Genomic DNA, 25070 nt, shown 5'->3' on the forward strand with positions numbered 1-25070 from the left:
TTGTATTTTTAGTAGAGACGGGGTTTCACCATGTTGGCCAGGCTGGTCTCGAACTCCTGACCTCAAGTGATCAACCCACCTCGGCCTCCCAAAGTGCTGGGATTGCAGGTGTGAGCCACTGTACCTGGCCAAAAGTTGCTTTTATGGTTGGTTTTTTGTTTTTTGTTTTGTTTTGGTTTGGTTTTTTTTTTGAGACAGTATCCCTCTGTTACCCAGGCTGGAGTGTACTGGCTCACTGCAACTTCCACTTCCGGGTTCACTCAATTCTTGTGCCTCAGCCTCCCAACTGGCTGGGATTACAGACGTGCACTACCATGACCAGCTAATTTTTGTATTTTTAGTAGAGGTCAGGTTTCACCCTGTTGGCCAGGATGGTCTGGAACTCCTGGCCTCAAGTGATTCACGCGCTTCAGCCTCTCAAAATGCTGGGATTACAGGCCGGAGCCACCACGTGGAGCCACCATATCCAGCCATAAAAAAAAAAAAAAAAAGATATTTGGCCAGGTGCAGTGGCTCATGCGTGTAATCCTAGCACTTTGGGAGGCCAAGGAGGGTGGATCACATGAGGTCAGGAGTTTGAGACCAGCCTGGTCAACATGGCAAAACCCCGTCTCTACTAAAAATACAAAAACTTAGCCCAGCGTGGCAGTGGGCACCTGTAATCCCAGCTAGTCGGGAGGCTAAGGCAGGAGAATCGCTTGAACCCAGGGGACGGAGGTTGCAATGAGCCAAGATCGCGCCATTGCACTCCAGCCTGGGCAACAAGAACGAAACTCTGTCTCAAAATAATAATAATAATAATAATAATACCCAGTATTTGTGAATGTTTGAGAAAACAGATCATCACATACATATTGGAGCATATACTGGTATAAACTTCTAAGAGGACAATTTCAAGTATATAAATTTTATTTTACAATATACATGTCAGCGGGGCGAGGTAGCTCGCGCCTGTAATCCCAGCACTTTAAGAGGCCTAGGCGGATACATCACTTGAGGAAAGGAGTTTGAGACCAACCTAGCTAACATGGTGAAACTCCATCTCTACTAAAAATACAAAAATTAGCCAGGTATGGTAGCGCGCACCTGTAATCCCAGCCACTGGGGAGGCTGAGGCAGGAGAATGGCTTCAACCCAGGAGATGGACATTGCAGTGAGCCAAGATCACAGCACTGCACTCCAGCTTGGGCAACAGAGGGAGAGTCTGTCTCAAAAATAAAATACAGGCCGGGCACGGTGGCTCACGCCTGTAATCTCAGCACTTTGGGAGGCCGAGGCAGGCGGATCACCTGAGGTCAGGAGTTCAAGACCAGCCTGGCCAACATGGCAAAATGCTGTCTCTACTAAAAATACAAAAATTAGCTGGGCATAGTGGCGGGCACCTGTAAACCCAGCTACTCAGGAGGCTGAGGCAGGGGAATCACTCGAAACCGGAAGGTGGAGGTTGCAGTGAGCTGAGATCACATCACTGCACTCCAGCCTGGGCAAGAGATGGAAAGGAGGGACAGACGTCCGCTCTTTTTTTTTATGCGCATGGGTTAGTTTTGTCATTTGAAAATTTTTAACTTAACAAATACAGTTACAATATACACTGCAAATAAGAAAAATGTCCTTATTGAAATTGGGGTTGGGAAAAATACAGTATCCTTATTGAGATGGGGGTTAGGGACTGTCATTAAATCCCAGGTAGATTAACAAAGACAGGAAAATGGGAAGAAAAGCAATTGATTAAAACACCGTGGCCGGGCATGGTGGCTCACGCCTGTAATCCCAGCACTTTGGGAGGCTGAGGCTGGCGGATCACGAGGTCAGGAGTTCAAGACTAGCCTGACCAATATGGTGAAACCCTGTCTGTACTAAAAATACAAAAATTAGGCTGGAAGCGGTGGCTCACGCCTGTAATCCCAGCACTTTGGGAGGCTGAGATGTGCGGCCAACATGGTGAAAGTCCATCTCTAAAATACAAAAAATTAGCCAGGCGTGGTGGCGCACGCCTGTAGTCCCAGCTACTCGGGAGGCTGAGACAGGAGAATCATTTGAACCCAGGAGGCAGAGGATGCAGTGAGCCAAGATCATGCCACTGTGCTGCAGCCTAGGTGACAGAGCAAGACTCCATCTCAAAAATAAATAAATAAATAAATAATAAAACACTGCTTGGCTGGGTGTGGTGGCTCACATCTGTAATCCTAGCACTTTGGGAAGCCGAGGTGGGCGGATTACCTGATGTCAGGAGTTTGAGACTAGCTGGCCCACATGGTGAAACCCCGTCTGTACTAAAAATACAAAAATATAGCTGGACGTGGTGGTGCATGCCTGTAATCCCACCTACTCAGGAGGCTGAGCAGAGATCACGCCACTGCACCCCAGCCTGGGCAACAGAGCGAGACTCCATCTCAAAAAAACCTCTGCCTCTCGGGTTCACGCAATTCTCCTGCCTCACCCTGCTGAGTAGCCGGGATCACAGGCGCACCACGCACCCAGCTAGTTTTTCTATTTTTAGTAGAGATGGGGTTTCACCATGTTGGCCAGGCTGGTCTCGAACTCCTGACCTCAAGTGATCCACCCGCCTCAGCCTCCCAAAATGTTAGGATTACAGGTGTGATCCACCACACCAGGCCACGTCAGGTTTTTGTTGTTGCTTTTAAGTAGAGATGGGTTTTTGCCATGTTGGCCAGGCTGGTCTTAATAGAACTCATGGCCTCAAGTGATCCACCAGCCTTGGCGTCACAAAGCACTGGGATTGCAGGCAAGAGCCACTGCACCTTGCTCAGGTTTTCAAAAATATGTTTTGTAGTTTTTATTTATTTATTTATTTATTTATTTTTTTGAGACAGGGTCTCCTTCTATCACTCTGGCTGGAATGCAGTGGTGCCATCCTGGTTTCCTGCAGCCTCCACGTCCTGGACTCAAAGAGATCCTCCCACCCCAGCCTCCTGAGTAGCTGGGACTACAGGCATGGGCCACCATGCCCAGCTAATTTTTTTAAAACTTTTTGTAGTGACAGGGTCTCACTATGTTGCCCAGGCTGTTCTCGAACTCCTGGCCTCAAGCAATTCTCCCACCTTGGCCTCCCAAAGTGCTGGGATTACAGGTGTGAGCCACTGTATCTTGCCTCAATAAATATTTTTTAATGAATTAATCAGCAAGTAATCTCCTCTATTTACTGTGACTCTGAGTTATGTTCAAGAGCAAGCAGTTCTTGACTTCCTTTTCTTTGTAATGATTTAGTGCTTGAAATTACTTCTACCTTTCAGCATTTTAAAATTGGTTATTATTTTCTCATTTTCATCCCCACACTCACATCGAACATGATTTCCACTATTTAAAAGTGTAAGATTTTTGTTTCAGCCTGGGATTTATCCTATTGCAAACTGCTAGCTACTATTTTCAACCTCTGTCAGCTAAATGCCAGAATGTCACTAATCAAAGGTGGTACTTAGGGGTGAAGTGAACAGTTAAGCCTCCAATTTACAAGCTTGTTTTTCCCTGGGATACTTGTGTGAAAGTCGTATGTTCCTGGGTGTGACCCTTTCGAGACAAAATCTCAACTGGTGAGTTAATTATGTATAACTATAATTAAATCAAAGATGTAGGATAACGGAGGCGTTGAAATAGTTTTTGCTAGGCAAGGGTGTGACCTTTTTAAAAAATGTATGATATATGCTGCCATTCGAGAGGCAAGGAAAACATATCTCCAAATTTCCTTCCAAGCGGTCTACCGGCATTGACAGTACCGCGGACAAAGGAGAGTACCAAATAAATACTCCTTCGAACCAACGGTATACTGAGAGCCCTGAGCTTGTGGGCGGGGCCCCGGAGCCTCCCGGGACCTAAAGGCAGAGGGGGCGTGGCTGAGGGTGGTCCAGACCTCCAGGGGCGGGGCTGAGACCTGCGAGAGGCAGGCTGGGAAGCGGCGCCATATTGGCGTCGGCCGCGCTGTATTGTCATAAATAGAGCCGGTTTTGTGGTGTTTTCACTACTCGGTTGGATGCCTCAGCCATAGTAAGTGGGAAAGTGAGCGAGCAAGCGAGCTACTAGCGACCGGAGGAAAGTGAACAGGGGGAGAAGGGAACAGCAAGAACAGGACTCCAGAGCGATAAACACTCGCTGGAGAGGGAGACGCAGGAAGCGATGAAAGAGATGTCTGCGTAAGTGGTGGGGGGCGGCGGTTGGGGTGAGGCGGGTAGGGGTGAGCTGAGGTGGTCCGACTGTGTCCTTGTTTCCGTTCCCTGTCCCTTGCGCCCTGCACGCAGCTCGCCGGGATGGTCTCCTTCCCGGCTCCCGGCCGGTCCGCAAGGGCACCTCCCCTAAACCCGGCGGCTCACCTGGCCACCCCTGCACGGACTCGGGGACTCCGGGAGTCCCCAGCTGTCCCGCCTCCGAGGACGCCCTCAGAAAAGGATGAGGAGGGAAAGAGGTGCCTGTGTCCGTAGGGAGAAATTGTCGGTCACTCGCCTGCCCCCAGCACTGTCTGAGCCCGTCTGCTCCTGTCTGCATTGGCGCAAATACCATCCCCCTGCCTCCCCCTCCTCCCTTCCCGACCGGCTGTCTCCAGGTCTTCAGGAGTGAAAGACCTATCGCAGCCCAAGGGTTTCTCTTTCATATGAGGCTACAGTCTTTTCACCGCCGTCCCCACCCTCTCCCTCACCCCCTGCTTCCCCACCTACCCACAACATCTACCGGTCTGTACCTCTTGTTCACACTTTGATAAGTCAGAAACAGTTCCCGTACTTGGCAAGATTTTGTTGTAGCTTCTTCCATTTTGGTCTATTAGGAAATAATTTAAACATGCAGAAAAATGTAGAGAATAACATAAGCATCATTTGTGGAGCCACCACCCATTTCTCCCAAAACGTAACTGTACACACATACACGTACATGCACACACGCACACACACGGTGTGTATATACGTATCTGTGTATTTATTTTAAAAAGAAATCAAGCATTCCAGATACATCTGAAGGACTCTCCTACCTCCTTCTCTGGTCCCAATCATCTCTTGCTCCAGATGTCTCCACAGTCTTGAATTTGATGTTTATCGTTGCTGCCTGTTTTTTATTTTACTTCTTTTTTTTCCGCCCTCGAATCATGGGAGCTGCATGTTTTTTAATGCTATTACTACATACACATGTGTTCATAATAACTGGCATAGTTCTAGTTGTTTTTAAACTTTATATAACTCGTATCACACTTGGAATTCTGTAACTTCTTTAGCACAACATAGTATCTCTGAGCTTTGTTCATGTTAGTATTTTAGTTGTAATTAATTAATATTAATTATTGTATTGTATTCTATTGTAGGAAAACACCCTAATTTAATTCTTTTCCTGTTAGTGACTATTTTATTTCTAAGTTTTTAATGTTACAATGTGACAGTGAACGTTCTTTTAGGTGTCTCTTTGTACGCTTGTAACTAGAATTTCTCTAGGTTGTTTGCCTGTAAGTGAAATTGATGGTTTGAAGGGAATGTGGGATTCTGTTGTTTACTTTCCCCTCCCCTCTAGATGGGGGAAGTTCAGAACCTGGATTTGGAATTTTAGGGCCAGTAGGCTAGTTGGCCAACTTTGTCAGCATACAGGTAAAAAAGTGAGGCCCGTCATCATGGTGTCAGAGCTGAAGTAGTTAGAGAGGAGAGAATGGAGTAGTGGAAAGAGGTTTTGGAGTTCAGATTCTGGCTTGTCCTCTCTTTGACTTTCAGGTACTTATCTGTAAAATGGCACTTATTCAATACCCCTTAGGATTATTGCGATTGAGTGATACTATATAGATATGTAGATAATTACTCTGTCCTATTCACTTACCGTATATATTTACATATGTATTACACAAACAATACCAAAACACTGCTCTAGCTTTCTCAGAGGTAAAAAGCCAAATCTTTAAAAAGAAATTACCACTTGAAATAACTAATTGAAGTTTTGTTTGTTCTACAACAAAATAAATACAGAAGATAAATTAACCAGTATTTTGGTTTCTGGGGTTTTTTTTTTTTTTTTTTTTTTTGAGTCATTTTGGAAGGTATACAGGCTATTTTATCTTCCATTTGATTCTTTCTCCCTCTCTGCCTAATGAGATTTTTTTTTTTTTTTTTTTTTTGAGACGGAGTTTCGCTCTTGTTGCCCAGGCTGGAGTGTGGTGGCGCGATCTTGGTTCACTGCAACCTTCGTCTCCTGGGTTCAAGCGAATCTCCTGCCTCAGCCTCCCGAGTAGCCGGGATTACAGACGTCCGCCACCATGCCCAGCTAATTTTTTGTATTTTCAGTAGAGACGGGGTTTCACCATGTTGGCCAGGCTGATCTTGAACTTCTGACCTCAAGTAATCCACCTGCCTTGGCCTCCCAGAGTACTGGGATTACAGGCATGAGGCACCACGCCCGGCCTCTAATGAGATCTTTAGCTATTACAGCGTGTCTTACTCTGTGTACTTAGTAGTGGTAAGACAGTGTTTTGACCAGTTAGAATCCAAAAACAATTAAACAATCTCTATTGTATGTTATTTTTTACAGGGCTAATTTATTCAACTTGAAAGATTGTTTCTAATTTTGAGATTACATTCTTACTCTTGGTGTTAATGGCCCTTCATGGAAGCATGGTGAAGATAAATGGTAGTGTTGGTCGTTTAGTGTGTATGTTTTTACTTTCATAGCAAAATTAGAAGTTTTGCCAACCCCTGTTGGTCCCAGAATTTATTTTGAAGTTGATTAGTTTGTGTAAACTCAAAATCTCAGAACTTGAATTGGCTGAGCGCGGGGGCTCACGCCTGTGATCCCAGCACCGTGGGAGGCCGAGACTGTTGGATCACCTGAGGTCAGGAGTTCGAGACCAGCCTGGCAACATGGCGAAACTCCGTCTCTACTAAAAATACAAAAAGTAGCTGGGTGTGGTGGCACATGCCTGTAATCCCAGCTACTTGGGAGGCTGAGGTAGGAGAATTGCTTGAACCCAGGAGGCAGAGGTTGCAGTGAGCTGAGATCTCCCCAATGCACTCCAGCCTGGGAGACAGAGAGAGACTCCATCTCAAAAAAAAAAAGAAAAAAAAGTCTCAGAACTTCTGTTGTACTTTATTCAAGACCGTAGTTTCTTGATGGCTAAGATGTTTGGAGGGTGGCTCATGTATCTTCCAAAAGATTGCCAGTAGTATAAAGAATTTTATTTCAATGTGAAGATGGTATGGGTACCAGTCTAAAATGAAGAGAATAATTAACTAGAATCACAAAGTACTAGGACTGTAAACTCTGATTCAAGCAGAGGATGTTAACCTCGGTTTCCCAAGGACAAATCTAATTGTGATTTCTTTTTAAAAGCCAGATTATTTCACAAGGACCTTCTAATGGGATGTTTTCATTTCTTTCCTGGGGAAAAAAACCCATTGTTTTTACTAAAAGCTTTATTTCAAGTGGTTGACTGCTTTTCAAAGATTCTAGAATCTGGATGGCACTTGACTTAAGTCTGCAGGGTAGTGGAGGTGGCCCTGGCACAGATCCCAATCAAACTCTGGGTTTGAGCTGAGTGGTGTTGGTACAATTGTCTTGATGCCAACACATGCTGCGCTTGGCTTGAAAAAACATCCTAACCATGAAAGCTGCAGGCAGTATGAATAGCCCCTTCATAAACATAAACATAAAATACCCATTTTTCCTTTACAAGAAAGTGTCTGCCACTACTGTTATTACTAAGTAAACTTTTAAGGTAGCTAAATTAACATGAGTAGATTGAGAGATTCAGTGTATCAGTATGGTATATACTTTAAATTTTTTGTTTCATTTTTCTTATTTTCTTGAACAGAAACACCGTGCTGGACAGCCAGCGTCAACAAAAGCATTATGGAATTACCTCCCCAATTAGTTTGGCATCTCCTAAAGAAATTGATCATATTTACACACAGAAATTAATTGACGCCATGAAACCATTTGGAGTGTTTGAAGATGAGGAAGAATTGAACCACAGGTATGTCATTGAAAACCATAAAATATTTGACAGTGCATTATTTAATCATTAATTCTGCGAACATATTGAATACCTACTGTGTCTCTAGATACAGGTGCAGAAATGACAAAAAGAAAAATCTTGGCCCTCTTGGAGCTTACATTTTAGGTAGGGGTTAGAAGAAGAGATTTGTCATCAATAATATCAGTATGACACTCATGAGTAATATTACACATGATAAGTGCTACTGAGAAAAAGCTGAGGGGGTAGAGGTTTCAGGGAAAGCCTCATTGAGAAAGTTACATTTAAGGGAAAATTTAAAGATGAAGGAGGGAGCCATGTGTCTATCTGAGGGAAAAGTGTTCTAGGCAGAACTCTTGAAGTGGTGTATTTGAAGAGTGCATAGCAAGATACCCTGGGTGTCTGAGCAGTGAGGAAGCAGGAAAATATAGGCTTAATGAAAGCAAGGTGGGAAGGAGCTTGGAGGGCAAGAGCTCTTAGGACCTTGTAAGGTGTTGTCAAGGTTTGGTTTATTCTGAGTGAAATGAGAAGCTATTAGGGTTTTGAAAAGAAGATTGACATGATGACTTAAAAAAGTTTTAACAGTCACTCTGGCTGCTGTATTGAGAGTAATCTTAGGAGAAGTGCAAGGGCAGAGCAGAGAAACCAGTTAGCAAGCCATTATAATAGCCCTAGGAGGAAATGATGGTGGCTAGAACCTGGAGGATGGTCGTAGAGGTAATAAAAAGTAGAAATCTGGATATATTTTAAAGGTAGGGTTCTTAGGGTTTAATGACTGGAATGTGTGTGTGAGGGGTCAAGGATGATGGCCAAGATTTTTGGTCTTGGCACCTTGAAGGATGGAATTTCATTATTTGTGGAAGACTGAGGAAGAAGTAAGTTTGGACAGACGTTCAGTTTTGCATGTTATCTTTGGTATGTCTAAACCCTACTTTTCTCTTCTAAATGTGGATTCATTTACACCATTGGTTATAAGTTGTTTTAATAATACCAAACTACTTTAATACTATTAGACAGAAATTAGCCAGTAATTAGTTCCCCCATTTTAATTAGTCAAAGACCTATTACTAGCAATGAGAGAATTCTAGCTTCTATTACCACATTGTATTGAATTAATTCCATAGTAAAGCCAAGAAAGTTGACAGTTCACTAAGCCTTTACAGCCTCATTGAAGGCAATTTTATGATTTTTATTAGGCTTTTTGAATTTTTGAAAATAGCTCAAAAACTAAAATACTGTAATCAGATTTATCACCTCTTTGGCACTGTTAAGGATCTAAAAATGCCAAAGAGATGGCCCTGTGTCAGTAGATGTGATAGCATTATCACATATATGTTATGGTTTTACCCCAGCATCAACACAAAGGGTACTGCCTATATGGGTTTTTAAAAATACTGTTTGTTCATTTGTTTGTTTGTTTTAATCTGAAGCATTTTTTTTTATAGGCTGGTGGTTCTTGGTAAATTGAACAATTTAGTAAAAGAATGGATTTCTGATGTCAGCGAGAGTAAGGTAAGACTCTAAACTATGTGGAATTCTTGTTTTTATTATATCTTGGCCATTCATCCTGGCAATAAGATGCAGGTGTTGAGAAGTATCTGAAATACATCAAAGCTTGGCTCTCTGGTATATGTAGGAATGAATTGGTCTAGACAGTTGAATTTCTAAGTAGATGAGGATTACCCAGAAGTAGCCAATATATAGCTGTGAGTCCACATAATTGTCTTATTTGACTCATATGTAGTAGGCCAAAATTTAAATATCAGATTTTACTTAAAAATCACATTTCAGCTGTTTTTATAAAGTATTAGATCTGGCAATGCTGGGCCTGCCTTTGTGCACAGCAGGAAGAGGCTTGAAGGGGATTGGGCTCCTGTCTTCCATTGCCTCATGGCCCCCACCACTCCCTGTTTTCTTTGCAAGGTGATTAATTGAGCAGTTACTATGTTTCTCATGTGGGATTCCCTTATTTGCCTACCTGCTTGGTTCCTAAGACATAGGAATTTGCAAACTAATTTATAACTACACAACCTTTTTCCCCTCCTGTAGCTTAACTATTTTTTTCCTGAAATTGATTACAATTTCCTGCTTTGTGTAGTGCAGTCCTCCCTTGGTATCCTCCGGGGGATTGGTTCTGGGACCTCCAAAGATACTAAAATCTGTGGATGCTCAGGTTCCTTATATGAAATAATATAGTACATATTTGCATGTTACCTTTTCAGATCCTTTTGCATACTTTCAGTCATTTCTAGATTACTTAAAATATCTAATACAATGTTAATGCTATGTAAATAGTTGTCACTGTAATTTTTTTTTTATTAGCATGTTTAAATTTTTTTTTCTTTTTTTGAGATGGAATCTCCCTCTTTGGCCAAGGCTGGAATGCAGTGGTGCAATCTTGGCTCAGTGCAACCTCCTCCTCCCAGATTCAAGTGATTCTCTTGCCTCAGCCTCCCGAGTAGCTGGGACTACAGACGTGTACCACCACACCGGGCTAATTTTTGTATTTTTAGTAGAGACGTGGTTTCATCATGTTGACCAGGCTGGTCTCGAACTCCTGATCTCAGGTGATCCGCCTGCCTCAGCCTCCCACAGTGCTGGGATTACAGCCTCGAGCCACCGCGCCCAGCCTAAATTTTATTCATTATTTTATTTTATTTTTTTTTGGAGACAGAGTCTTGCTCTGTCACCCAGGCTATAGTGCAGTGGCATGATCTCACCTCAGCCTCCCCAAGTGCTGGGATTACAGGCTTGAGCCACCACGCCCAACCATAAATTTTATTTTATTTTTTTTTTATAGACAGGATCTCCCTCTGTCACCCAGGCTGCAGTACAGTGGCACAGTTACATAGCTCACTGCAGTCTCAAACTCCTGGGCTCAAGTGATCCTCCCACCTCAGCCTCCTGAATAGCTGGAACTGTAGGAATGCACAATTGTGCTTGGCTTATTTTGTTTATTATTTTTTGTAGACACAAGAGTATCACTGTATTACCCAGGCTGGTCTCAAACTCCTGGTCTCCAGCAGTCTTCTGACCTCAGCCTCCCAAAGTGCTGGGATTACAGGCATGAGCCACTGCGCCTTGCCTAAAATTTGCTTGATTTTTTATGGCTTTTTCCCCCCAGTATTTTTTATCTGTGTGTGATTGGTTGAATCTGCAGATGTGGAAACTGCAGATACGGAAGGCTAACTATATTTTGAATATAATTGTTTTTGTTTTTGTTTTTGAGATAGAATCTTGCTCTGTCACCCAGGCTGGAGTGCAGTGGCGAGATCTCAGCTCACAGCAGCCTCTACCTCCCAGGTTCAAACGATTCTCCTGTCTTAGCCGCCCAAGTAGCTGGGGCTACAGGTGCACACCACCATGCCCAATTAATTTTTATATTTTTAGTAGAGACGGGGTTTCACCATAATGGTCAGGCTGGTCTCAAACTCCTGACCTCAGGTGATCTACCCGCCTCAGCCTCCCAAATTTCTGGGATTACAGGTGTGAGCCATCACACCTGGCCTTGGTTTTGTTCTTGTTTGAGACATGGTCTCTCTCTGTTGCCCAGGCTGCAGTGCAGTGGCGTAATCTTGACTCACTGCAACCTCCACCCCTGTGTTCAAGCAGTTCTCTTGCCTCAGCCTCCCGAGTAGCTGGGATTACAGGTGCACGCCACCATGCCCAGCTAATTTTTGAATTTTTGGTAGAGATGGGGTTTCACCATGTTGGCCAGGCTGGTCTCGAACTCCTGACCTCAAGTAATCCATTCTCTTCGGCCTCCCAGAGTGCTGGGATTACAGGCATGAGCCACCATGCCCTGCCTCACAATTGAATTTTTATTATTGTCTGAGAATCACCACTGCGAAGGTTATTTTACTGGCTGTACCAGAATGAGGGAGAGAATGTTCAACTGGGTGATACCATTTGCCTCATCACTAGGTAGCCCATACTGTTATATTTTAAGGTTTTTGTTTTTCATAGTTTTCCTATCTTTGCCTTAACAGCAGTCAGTTGAAAGCCCACTGTTTAAAAGAAAGCCCACTGTTTAAAACTCACAGTTGTCAGTGTGTCTAGCTGTAAAGTCCCTTTCTGCCCCTTAATCTGCATGGATTTAGAAATTAGGTAAACAACTGCAGATTTTTTTTTTTTTTTTGGCGATGGGCTCTTACTCTGTCACCCGGGCTGGAATGCAGTGGCGCGATCTCAGCTCACTGCAACCTCCGCCTCCCAGGCTCCAGCAGTCCTCCCAACCTCCCCACCTCAGCCTCCCTAGTAGCTGGGACCACAGGCATGCACCACCACACCTGGCTAATTTTTGTATTTTTGATAGAGACGGGGTTTTGCCATGTTGGCCAGGCTGATCTCGAACTCCTGAGTTCAAGCAATCCAACTGCCTTGGCCTCCCAAAGTGCTAGGATTATAGGCATGAGCCACCACACCCGGTCTAGAATTCTTTCTTTTACAGCTTTTATTATTTTTTTCTGTAGCTATGATGAATATGTAGAATTGGTTCTTTTAAACAGTGGGCTCAGAATAAAGTTGAGTCTCCTAAAGACTACAGTCGTTGAGTTTAACATGGTATTTATGCTATTTACTTTTGTTGCCAAAAGGCTGTCTGCCTCATTTCTGAACTCACCAGGGTTATCAATAGTTGAAGTTATTGGATGAGTCAAATTCTGAGCAGATGGAAATGCTAGTGACAGGTAGTCAAAAAAAATAAAGTTAGTTAACATCTTCCATTGAGCAGATGAGGTCATTTTTCTTTGTGAATTGTAATTGTCTCTTTTGTGTGGGGGAATGGGGGAAGGATCTCTCAGTCTGTCTCCCAAGCTGGAGTGCAGTGGCATGCATAATCATGGCTCACTACAGCCTCAAACTCCTAGGCTCAAGCAATCCTCTCACCCCAGCCCCCCAAGTAGCAGAGGCTACAGGTACACATCCTGATGCCTAGCTACTTTTTTTTTTTTTTTTTTTTTTGGTAGAGATGGGGTCTTGCCATGTTGCCCAGGCTGTCCTCAAACTCTTGTACTCAAGTGATCCTCCTGCTTTGGCTTCCCATAGTGTTGAGATTACAGGCATGAGTCACAACCACACCCAGCCTATAATTCTCTTTTTTTTTTTTTTTGATTTTAAAAAAAAAAGTGACGAGGTCTCACTGTGTTGCCAGGCTGATCTTGAACTCTTGAGCTCAAGTGAACCTCCCACCTCAGCCTCCCGAAGTGTTAGGATTATAGGCATGAGCCACCACTCACAGCCTGTAATTCTCTTTATGTATATTTTACTTTGGAAAGTAACTGAAGGATTTGGGTTTAATCAAAGATGATTTGAATCTGTACACAATTGGGATATTTAAACTTTAAATAGTGTAGAATCCCACATCAAATCATTTTGGTTAGATACTATGGCTGTGGCAAACTGATTTAGCATATCACTTTCTCATAAATCATGCGAGAATCAGACTTCTCAAAATAGAAATGTGAACTAAAAGATTTTTTTAAGGTCCTGTCTTCTCTGTCCATTTCATTCATGTTAATCATCAATAAATTTACAGATTCCTGGGCATGGTGGTGCATGCCTGTAGTCCCAGCTACTCAGGAGGCTGAAGCAGGAAGATCTTGAGCCTAAGAGTTCAAGGCCAGCCTGGGCAACATAACAAGACTCTGTCTCTTTAAAAAATCTGATTAATTTACTAACTTCTTTCTAGCTATAAAATTATTTGTGATACTCTTAACCTTAATATTCATTACACAGAAGCATTAACAAGGATAATATCCTATTATATAGATACTTACATTCAAGTTGAAGTTAATCAGCAGATATTCTTTAGAACTTGTACTGGGCATTGTGAGAAAATACAGAGAAGCAGTAGACACAGTTCTTAACTCTGAGAAATGTAAATATGATTGAAGATTAAATATGAAATATGATTTTACATGCCAAAGAAGTCAGTAAATATAGCAAAAAAGAATTTAAGAATTGTAATGGCAGAAAGCACAGAGGAAAAAAAAGCTTGTTAGGGAGTAAGGATAACCAGGGAAGGCTTCATGGAAGAGGTGGAACTTGAAGTGAACTTCTAAAAGTGGATGATACCGATAGCCAGAAGCTGGACATGGTGGCTCATGCCTGTGATCCCAGCACTTTGGGAGGCTGAGACAGGAGGATCGCTTTAAAACAGGAACTTGAGACCAGCCTGGGCAAAAAAGCAAGACCCCATCTTTACAAAAATTATTTAAAAATTACCCAGGCACAGTGGTACCTGTCTGTAGTCTCAGATACTCTGTAAGCCAAGGCAGGGGGAATATTTTGTGCTCAGTAGTTTGAGGCTGTGGTGAGCTAAGATCACACTGCTGTGCTCACTTCAGCCTGGGCAACACAGTGAAACCCCGTCTCCATCTGTTTAAAAAAAAAAAAAAAACCCAAAAAAACAAAAGATGCCCAGAAAGAATGGGCAAGCACTTGAGGCAGGAACAATGGCAAATGCAGTGAAAAGGAGGTTGGATTCTGTAACCATGTTGGTTGGTTGGTAGGTAGTTGGAGCTTCAGAAAGGAAGATAAGAAGACAAGGCAAGAAAGATCCCTAGGAACATGTCGTGGAGATTTTCAACAACAGGCCCAAGGATCCTTACCTCAGTAGTTAGGGAAGAAGACATTGGCAACTTTTGAGTACAACAACTATATTTAATAGAGTAATTTAAGAACATCAGCCAGTGAATTTTATACAAGATAGTGAAAGAGAAAAGGAAGATTAATTAGGGGTAGTTTAGGATGCCATTAAATAGCCTAGAATTAGGGGAGTAGTCGTTGAATAGAAAGGAGGCCACAAATTTGAGGGATATAAGCTAAGAATTGGTAAGCCAAGAAGAAGGAAAAGGTTTGGGCAGTAAGGATAATGAGGAACAAAAATAGAGAACTCAGAAGCAATATCTGACTGTTATCATTGGAAGAATTTTTTTGCTTGCTTGAGGCTGGATATTGAAGTGGATCAGGATACTTGAGTGACTATCTGATGGGCTTTTGGAACTAGCTCTCAAGAGGTGAAAATTAGCTTTTTTTTCTTTTTCTTTCTTTTTTTTTTTTTTTGAGGCAAGGTCTCACTGTTGTTGAGGCTGAACCTCCTGGGCTCAAGCAGTTGTCCCATTGCAGCCTCCTCAGTAGCTGAGACTACAGGCACACGCCACATGCCTAGCTAATGTTTTCTTTTTTGTAGAGATGGTGTCTCATTGTGTTGCTCAGGCTGGTCTTGAACTGGACACAAGTGGACCTCTTGCCTCAGTCTCCCAAAGTGCTGGGATTACAGGCATGACCACGCCCAGCCAAAAAGTAGCATTTTAATTACATTATAATCCAAGAAATGTTAATTAAGCTTGTTAGAATAGCTCTCATAAGGAGATCATGTCAGGAATGACTCCGTTCTTACAGAAAGGTTGTAGAGCTAGAATCAAGAAATTAAACATACCTGTCACAAAAACTAAAGGGGATATGGGATTGGCCAAGAGTGTTATGTTTTAGAGAGGTGAAAGCACATTAGTCTGGTAACTGAGAGTTCCTTGTTGACTACCGAAAGAGTGATGAAGCGAAAGACAGGCAGTTGGAGGGGACAAGTATGGTCAAGTGATTAAAAAGAAAAGCTTTTCTTCAGATAGGGATGTATGTATGTGTAGTGGGGGTGAATTTGTTTTGTCTTTCCTCTGGGAATACCCTTATTACTTCAGATCACAACCAGAGGATCTGTGAAGCACTTTTACAAATCTAATCTTGACAAGGTTGGCAAATCTAATCATGTATCATTTGCTCAATAAAGGTCAGTAGACATTATGGTGATTTTTTTTTTTATTTTTTGAGACAGAGTTTCACTCTTGTTCCCCAGACTGGAGTGCAATGGCACAATCTCGGCCGCTGCAACCTCCACCTCCCAGGTTCAAGTGATTCTCCTGCCTCAGCCTACCAAGCAGCTGGGATTACAGGTGGCCACCACCACGCCCAGCTAACTTTTGTATTCCTAGTAGAGAAGAAGTTTTGCCATGTTGGCCAGGCTGGTCTTGAACTCCTGACCTCAGGTGATCCACCGGCCTTGGCCTCCTATAGTGCTGGGATTACAAGTGTGAGCCACCATGCCCAGCCAACATTGAGGTGACTTTTATGCTAAATAATTTGAATAATTGAATGTCTTCCGCTTAATTTTATTTTAGAACCTCCCACCTTCTGTTGTGGCTACTGTTGGTGGTAAAATTTTCACATTTGGATCCTATAGGCTTGGAGTACACACCAAAGGTAACTGCTTTTCTGTGTTCTAGTGCTAAGAACATTCAATAACAAACTCTTCATAATTAGAAAATGTAGGAGAACAAAGTTCCCACTATTTCACTACTTAGAGCTAATCATTGTTAACATTTTCTTGTACTCAACTTCCATACTTTCTTCTGTACATATGTTTGTGTGTACTTTAACAAAGAATATAACACATAATATATTCTTAATTAAGAACTACTTTAATTTACAGGAGCTGACATTGATGCACTTTGTGTAGCTCCAAGACATGTGGAAAGATCTGATTTTTTTCAGTCTTTTTTTGAAAAATTGAAACATCAAGATGGCATTAGAAACTTAAGAGTAAGTATCCTCTGGCATTTAATATTTTGAATTTAGATTAGTAACAAATATCTATAAAAACTAGGGCTTAAAACTATTGAAATACCTTCTAAGTTACTATTAGGAGGTATTTAATAAGAGTAGCTTTAATAAGTGATGATTAAATCATGATTAAGAACATGGGCCTTAGAGTTATACAGACTTGGGTTGGCATCTAGAATCTACTACATAATAGCTCCTAGATCTTGGTCAAGTAACCTAATCCTCTGAGCCTGTTTCCTGATCTGTAAAACAGAGATGTGGTAATAACTTTTTTATAAGGTTTTTGAGTATTGATGAGATATTTACATAAACCATTTACTGTAGTAGCCAACAATGATTGATACATATCAAATGATGAGTGCTATTATGTGTAAGGTTCAGTTAGTAACTCTTTATATGTGTATATCTAGCCATTCATTCAGCAAATAAAATTTCAGCACTAGTAATTTGTTAGATGCTGGCATTAGTCTTACAGATACAATAGTAAACAAGACATTGTTTATTGAGGAGGGGGTTATGTGAACTAAATAAACAAAACAGTGTTAATGCATTCTGAAGTGCTAGAATAAGGTGAAGGTCAAAGAATCTGTGATATTTGGGGAATCTGGGAATGTTTTTAGACAAGGAAGTTAAGAATTTGTTAGGTTGGGGAGTTAAGGAAGACTCAGAAAACCTAATGGTTTCTACTAATCTCAACTGTATTAATTAAATTTTTGATAGATTAATCATGAGCTTTCATTATTTTAAAATTTCTAACTCTAGTAGCCTTTCTAAATAATCAGTTTTCAGTTTAGACTCGAAATTATAAGTACCCAGATGATAGCAGGTTTTTGTTTTTTTGTTTGTTTTTTTAATTTTACTTTAAGTTCTGGAATACCATGTGCAGAACGTGCAGGTTTGTTACATAGGTATACATGTGCCATGGTGGTTTGCTGCACCTATCAACCCATTATCTAGGTTTTAAGATCTGCATGCATTAGGTATTTGTCGTAATGTTCTCCCTCCCTTGTCCCCCACCCCCCGACAGGCCCCAATGTGTGATGTTTCTCTCCCTGTGTCCATGTGTTCTCATTGTTCAACTCTTACTTATGAGTGAGAACATGCTGTGTTTGGTTTTCTGTTCCTATGTTTGCTGAGAATGATGGCTTCCAGTTTCATCCATGTCCCTGCAAAGAACATGAACTCACTGTTTTTTATGGCTGCAGACGATAGCAGTTTTGCTTTCCAGTTCTGAGGAATATTTTTAGAGGGATAATAAATTAGATACTGTAACAGGCATTTTGTGTATCTTACATAATACAGGTCACAAAGTAGAAATACTTACCTGGAATGTAAGACCAGAAACATTTTCACTTTGTCTATTGAGTTAAAATACAAATCGGGAGTAAAGATATTCACATTATTGGTAGTTAGAAAGGATAAAGAAGGGATTACTTCTATGTGGTTAAAATACAAATCGGGAGTAAAGATATTCACATTATTGGTAGTTAGGAAGGATAAAGAAGGGATTACACCTATGTGTTATAATTGTTTTCCTTTTTTGTAGGCTGTAGAAGATGCCTTTGTACCTGTTATAAAATTTGAATTTGATGGTATTGAAGTAAGTGTTTAATATTTTTCTGACTTTACAATTGAACTGTTTAAACTTGTAAGTTTGTTTTCTGAAATCAGGCTTAACATAAATGCATATTTTAAAAAATCAAGTAATCTCTTTTTTTTTTTTTAATGAAGAGATGGGGTCTAACTCTATGGCCAAGGCTGGAGTATAGTGACACAATCATAGCTCACTGCACCTTTGAGCACCTGGGTTGAAGTGATCCTTCCACCTGAGCCTCCTGAGTGGCTAGGATTCCAGGCACACACCACCACACCTGGCTAATTTTTTGTATTTTTAGTAGAGACGGGGTTTCACCGTGTTAGCCAGGATGGTCTCAATCTCCTGACCTCGTGATCCGCCCACCTTGGCCTCCCAAAGTGCTGGGATTACAGGCATGAGCCACCGCGCCTGGCCCATATTTTTAATTTCTAAGAATACTATTTTATTCTTTAAATGTTCCTTTTTATTTTTGTCTGCATTTATTTACAGCCTCCTGACCTTATTTCCTAGATATGACATTTTTATCTGCTTTCTTAGGTCTACTGGGTCTGTTACCACTTGTCCATCTGCTTTCCAGCTTTCATAGCTTTTGTTTGTCACTTTCTGTTCTTTGTCCTAGTGAATTTTGCCTTTAACATCAAAATAATACTAAACACAAAAATAAAATTGAATTTTCGTGGTATTTTAGTGAGGTTTCAAGAGGGAGTGAATGTAAATGTGTGTTGGATCTTCTATCTTTATCTAGAAATTTGCTCATAAGGCTTTGATTTTTTTTTCTGCTTGGCATATATGTTAACATTTAAATGCTTTCATTAATTGAAAGTTTAATTACCTTAACACAACTTTATAGTGATTTTCCCATGTGAGACTGCCTACATAGGCCTATCGAAGCTTTGGTAGAACTTCCCAAACTCATAACCAGAGCTTTTCACATTTTTTGGTGGGATGGGAGAGGATGGATTAAAAGGAGAAAATGTAATTTTTTTCTCTTTTTTCACATCTTTCCAAAGATTGATCTAGTCTTTGCAAGACTGGCAATACAAACCATATCAGATAATTTAGATCTAAGAGACGACTCTCGCCTGAGAAGCCTTGATATAAGGTGTATTCGCAGCTTAAATGGTAAGCTTCTAAAAAGAAATCTCAGATACCTGCTTCAGAACAATTAGAGAAATATAGATATTTTTGCTGAATTGACTATTCAGTTTTGGAGATTGGACTCAGTTTAAAATGTAATTTTCCTTATACAGATAATGTGACCACATTTAAGAATCCTAAAAACCACAAATTTATTTGAAAGGCTGTGTATATTTATATTACTGGTTCTCAAACTTACTGGTCTCAAGACTTCTTTACACTCTTAAGATTTATGGAGGACCCCAAAAAGCTTTTGTTTATGTGGGTTATATCTGTCAATATTTACCATGTTAAAAAATAAAAACTGAGAAATTTAAAAAGTACTTATTCATTTATAAATAATGAACCCATTTTAAATTAATATAAACTTTTGTGTGTGAAGAATGGCTTCTTTTTTTTTTTTAACATTTTGCAAGTCTCTTTAATATTAGGCCTGATAGAAGACAGCTAGATTCTCATTTGTGTCTACAATTGATTGTAATATTTTGTTTTGGTTAACATATAAGAATAAAATCTGGCCGGGCGTGGTGGCCCACGCCTGTAATCCCAGCCCTTTGGGAGGCCAAGGTGAATGGATTACTTGAGCCCAGGAGTTTCCAGACCAGCTAGGATAACATGGTGAAACCCCATCTCTACCAAAAATAAAAAACATTTAGTTGGATGTAGTGGCACTCGCCTGTAGTTCCAGCTACTCAGGAGGCTGAGGTGAGAGGATCACCTGAGCCCCCGAGGTGGAGGCTGCAGTGAGCCGTGATTACGCCACTGCACTCTAGCTTAGGTGACAGAGTGAGACCCTGTCTCAAAAAAAAAAAAAAAAAAGAGGCCAGGCACAGTGGCTTATGCCTCTAATCCCAGCACTTTGGCAGGCCAAGGCAGGCAGATCACCTGAGGTCAGGAGTTTGAGACCAGCCTGGACAACATGGTAAAACCCCATCTCTATTAAAAATAAAAAACTAGCCAAGTGTGGTGGTGCTTACCTGTAATCCCAGCTACTCGGGAGGCTGAGGCAGGAAAATCACTTGAACCCAGAAGGCGGAGGTTGTGGTGAGCTGAGATCATGCCACCACAATCCAGCCAGGGTGACAGAGCGAGTCTCCGTCTCAAAAAAGAAAGAAAAAATCTGTCCTCTTAGTTGGAAAAGGGAGGAGTGTTTTAATAGCCTTTTCAGATAATTATGGATATTCTTCTTAAACTTGGCCAGTAACATTTTTTTTCTTTTTAACAGTTTTATTGAGATATAATTACATACCATTATACACCTCACTGGTCTTTTTCTTTTCTTTTCTTTTCTTTTTTTTGAGACGGAGTCTCACACTGTTACCCAGGCTGGAGTGCGATGGCGCGATCTCAGCTCTCTGCAACCTCCGCCTCTGGGTTCAAGCGATTCTCCTGCCTCAGCCTCCTGAGTAGCTGAAATTACAGGCATGTGCCACCACGCCTGGCTGATCTTTTTGTATTTTTAATAGGGACGGGGTTTCTCCATGTTGGTCAGGCTGGCCTCAAACTCTCGATATCAGGTGATGCCAACCTCAGCCTCCCAAAGTGCTGGGATTACAGGCATGAGCCACCGTGCCCGGACTTCACTGGTCTTTAGTACACTACAATCCAATGTTAGAATATTTTATCACCCTCAAAAGATCCTTTATACCCATTTGCAGTCATTTCCCCTTCCAATCCGCAGTCCCAGGCAACCACTAATCTGCTTTATTTCTTTGTAGATTTGCCTCTTAAAGACGTTTCATATAAAAATAATCCTATGTGGTCTTTTGCGTAAGGGTTCTTTAATTTGGCATGTTTGTGAGGTTTATCTGTATTTGTTCCGTTTTGTTGCTGAATAAAAATGATAGTTTCTTAAAGGTTAGAGTATGGAATCTAAAATCATATCAAACTTGTTGTATTCTGTTACATGACAGTCCACTGATCTGTCTTGTTCTTTGAGTGGTCCCTTTATTCATGCATGATTTTGTACTATCATGCCTTGGTCATTTGGAAAATATTGGTTCACAAAATTATTTGGATGTTCCAAATGTTAATACACATTTCACTATAAAATGTGAAAAAAAAAAAACCAGCAGTCATTAGTGACCAGTCTCAACAGAAAAGTATGGAAAGGTGTCAAGCTCATAGTAACAGATAAAAGTTGTCTGAAATTCAGATTTAACTTGAAAGCTTAAATTTTATTATTGGCAACAAATTTTGTCATTTGTTTTAGTTGAACTGAGAGGTTCCTTTTGTCCATTTTTAAGGAAATACCTAACTGAATAACTATAGTTTATCTGCCAGTTATTTTTTCAGGTGAAACTGGTGTTCCTTGAAAAAAGCAGGTAGTTGAGCTTACAACTTACACAGTTTCACATGTTCTTTCCCCACCTTTATTTTTAACTGCAAGTGTGTGGTGGTGAAGATATTTTTTTCTGCTAGTGCAGTTTGTTGCCCCATGTGTTTTTTGTTTTTTGTTTTTTTTTTGAGACGGGAGTCTCGCTCTGTCGCCCAGGCTGGAGTGCAGTGGCGCGATCTCGGCTCACTGCAAACTCCGCCTCCCGGGTTCACGCTGTTGCCCCATCTTGATTGACTGCCAAGGTACCTGCAGTTTTATCCACTGTTTCTTTTGCACCATCAGTGCAAATGTTAACACGGTGAAAAAAGCCTTAGTATTATTATAAAAAAAGTTTGACCTCACAGATTCCCAGGGGTACCCAGACCATACTTTGAGAACTAATGTCTTTTTTTTTTTTTTTGAGACAGAGTCTCACTCTATTGCCCAGGCTGGAGTGCAGTGGCGTGATCTCAGCTCACTACAACCTCCGCCTCCCGGGTTCAAGCGATTCTCCTGCCTCAGCCCTTTGAGTAGCTGGGAATATAGATGCCCACCACCACACCTGGCTAATTTTTGTATGTTTAGTAGAGACAGGGTTTCACCATTTTGGCCAGACTGGTCTCGAGCGCCTGACCTCAGGTGATCCACCCACCTCAGCCTACCAAAGGGCTGGGATTGAGAACCAATGTTTTATAGTGTCTTGTTTGACCGAATCATTATTGCACTTTGGTGTATTTCCAGATTGTAACAGTAAATTACAGTATTTGTGGAAAAGGTTTACATTGAAGTAATTACAGTGTTGTAATTGGGAGGTATTTGATTAATAGTCAAGGAAGAAAACTAAAAAATACTCAGGCACATCTCATTTTGGATTGCATTACCCATGTCTTTTTTAATTACCCTAAAGCAAACTGATTTCTCATAAGTGGTAAATTTCATACACATAAAATAAGCCCCAATGTTTTATTATCTTTCATATTTTTAGCATTCGAGAGTCTGGAAGTTAGGAGGGCATTTGAATTAACTGAGAATTTGCTGCATAGTGAAAAATGAATGCTTTGTCTTTTTCAGGTTGTAGAGTTACTGATGAAATTTTGCATTTAGTGCCAAATAAAGAAACTTTTAGACTCACCCTAAGAGCTGTCAAATTATGGGCAAAACGTAAGTATCCCTAGTCTTTTATGTTTGCATTATAAAATTCTAATTTTCTCTTGCCAGTGAAAGAAGCATATATAGAAACTCTGAACCTAATGATATTGTTGGAGGTTAAGGGCCAATAAACTCTGTAATAGCTATTTGCTTTTCAAGTACAGTGGTTATGGTGTTTTGATAAGTAGTATACCTCTTCCTCCCTTGGGTAAAAACTTAAAGCCCTGACTTTTCATCTTAGGTTCAGTCAGGCAGTCAGAATAATTCAGAACTTGAAGACTGATACCCTCCCTGTGGGTAACACCATCTTACGTATCTTTGTATTCACACCAGCAAAGAGTCTGGTTTATACTGTAGTAGGTGTTCATTAAGTGAAGAGTCTACAGTGATGACTTTCACTTGTTTTTACCTTATAACACTTTTCTAATAAAGCCTGGAACTGTTACTAGTTTATATATATAGTTTATATATTTAGGTTCATAAAAATCCCTTTGCTTACCACTGAGCTGGCACAGCACATTCTGTATTATTATTTAAGCACACCTCTGAGATATTGTAGGTTTGGTTCCAGACAACTGCAGTAAAGCAAATTACAATTTTTTTTTTGTTTCCCAGTGCATATAAAAGTTACATTTACACTATACTGTAGTCTTTTTTTTTTTTCTTTTTTTGAGACGGAGTCTTGCTCTGTCGCCAAGGCTGGAGTGCAGTGGGCAATCTTGGCTCACACCAACCTCTGCCTCCCGGGTTCAAGTGATTCTCCTGCCTCAGCCTACCAAGTAGCTGGGATTATAGGCACGCACCACCATACCCGGGTAATTTTTTGTATTTTTGGTAGAGACGGGGTTTCACCATGTTTGTCAGGCTGGTCTCCAACTCCTGACCTTGTGATCCGCTCGCCTCGGCCTCCCAAAGTGCTGGGATTACAGGCGTGAGCCATCAAGCCCGGCTCCAAAATGTGTTTCTTAAATGGTAAAACAAGAAGATAACTCCTTGATCCATGGGCTATAGAATAGATGCTGTATTAGCAGACATGAAAGTAACTTTAATCTCCTAGTATGTGTCCACTGGAGCTCGTGGGTGACTAGGTGCATTGTCAAAAGAGCAGTCCTACTTAGAAAGGAATCTTTTTTTTTTCTGAGCAGTAGATCTCACCAATGGGCTTTAAAATACTCAGTAAACCATGCTGTCAACAGCTGTGCTGTCATCTAGGCTTTGTTGTTCTGTTTGTACAGCACAGACAGTAGAGTGAGCATCATTCTTAAGGGCGCTGGGATTTTGGGAATGTTAAATGAGCATTGGCTTCATTTTTTTTTTTTTTTTTTTTTTTTTTTGAGATGGAGTCTCACTGTCTCGCCCAGGCTGGAGTGCAGTGGCGCGATCTCAGCTCACGGCAACCACCGCCTCCTGGGTTCAAGTGATTCTCCTGCCTCAGCCTCCCAAGTAGCTGGAATTACAGGCATGTGCCACCACACCTGGCTAATTTTTGTATTTTTAGTAGAGATAGGGTTTTACCATGTTGGCCAGGCTGATCTTGAAGTCCTGACCTCAGGTGATCTGCCTGCCTTGGCCTCCCAAAGTGCTGGGATTACAAGCATGAGCCACCATGCCCGGCCAGCTTCAATTTAAAGTCACCAGCTGCATTAGCCTCTAACAAGAGAATCACCTACCCTTTGAAGCTTTGAAACCAAGCTTCTCCTCTCTAGCTGTGAAAGTCCTAGATGGCATCTTCTTCCAGTATAAGGCTGTTTCATCTACATTGATAATTTGTTGTTTAGTGTAGCCACCTTCATCAATGATTTTAACTAGATCTTCTGGATAACTTCCTGCAACTTCTGCATCAGCACTTGTTGCACTTCTAGTTGTGGAGATGGCTTCTTTCTTTAAACCTTATGAACCAATCTTCACTAGCTTCAGACTTTTCTTCTGCACCTTCCTCACCTCTCTCAGCCTTCATATGATTGAAGAGAAGTTAGGGCTTTGCTCTGGATTAGACTTTGGCCTAAGGAAACATTGTGTCTTGTTTGATCTTCCATCCAGACCGTTAAAATTTTCTATCAGCAGCCAGGCGCAGTGGCTCACAGCTGTAATCCCAGTACTTTGGGAGGCCGAGGCGAGCGGATCATGAGGTCAGGAGAGTTCGAGATCAGCCTGACCAACATAGTGAAACCCCCTCTCTACTAAAAATACAAAAATTAGCCGAGTGTGGTGGCACGTGCCTGTAATCCCAGCTACTCGGGAAGCTGAGGCAGGAGAATCACTTGAACCCAGGAGGCAGAGGTTGTGGTGAGCTGAGATGGCACCAC

At 41.4% G+C, this 25070-nt stretch overlaps 1 protein-coding gene across 4 annotated transcripts in view, besides 2 other annotated features; it reads left to right on the forward strand.

Annotated features, from left to right (window-relative positions):
* Positions 3837-4146: an enhancer, noted in NCBI's record as "active region_15817". NCBI's record gives its function as "activates an Ori minimal core promoter by ATAC-STARR-seq in GM12878 lymphoblastoid cells {active_cell/tissue: GM12878}" and the evidence as "EXISTENCE:reporter gene assay evidence [ECO:0000049][PMID:35858748]".
* The window catches only part of PAPOLG (poly(A) polymerase gamma), a 45819-nt gene continuing 24669 nt past the window's right edge, over positions 3921-25070 (forward strand). For 3 of the 4 annotated variants that reach the window (XR_007080681.1, NM_022894.4, XM_005264500.5), the window contains exons 1-8: positions 3921-4148; positions 7787-7948; positions 9394-9460; positions 16123-16204; positions 16434-16543; positions 18111-18164; positions 19172-19283; positions 22687-22776. Coding sequence is in view for 3 of the 4 variants with exons in the window: in NM_022894.4 (NP_075045.2) it covers positions 4132-4148; positions 7787-7948; positions 9394-9460; positions 16123-16204; positions 16434-16543; positions 18111-18164; positions 19172-19283; positions 22687-22776 (694 nt within the window). In the remaining variant the exon portion in view is untranslated. The remainder of the gene's footprint in view (positions 4149-7786; positions 7949-9393; positions 9461-16122; positions 16205-16433; positions 16544-18110; positions 18165-19171; positions 19284-22686; positions 22777-25070) is intronic. The other variant, XM_005264501.3, reaches the window with a different exon arrangement.
* Positions 6781-7280: an enhancer, noted in NCBI's record as "H3K4me1 hESC enhancer chr2:60986263-60986762 (GRCh37/hg19 assembly coordinates)". NCBI's record gives its function as "activates a minimal SCP1, AML or CMV promoter by ChIP-STARR-seq in naive H9 embryonic stem cells {active_cell/tissue: H9 hESC(naive)}" and the evidence as "EXISTENCE:reporter gene assay evidence [ECO:0000049][PMID:30033119]".

This window comes from Homo sapiens, chromosome 2, assembly GCF_000001405.40.
Source record: "Homo sapiens chromosome 2, GRCh38.p14 Primary Assembly".
Classification (NCBI taxonomy): Eukaryota; Metazoa; Chordata; class Mammalia; order Primates; family Hominidae; genus Homo; species Homo sapiens.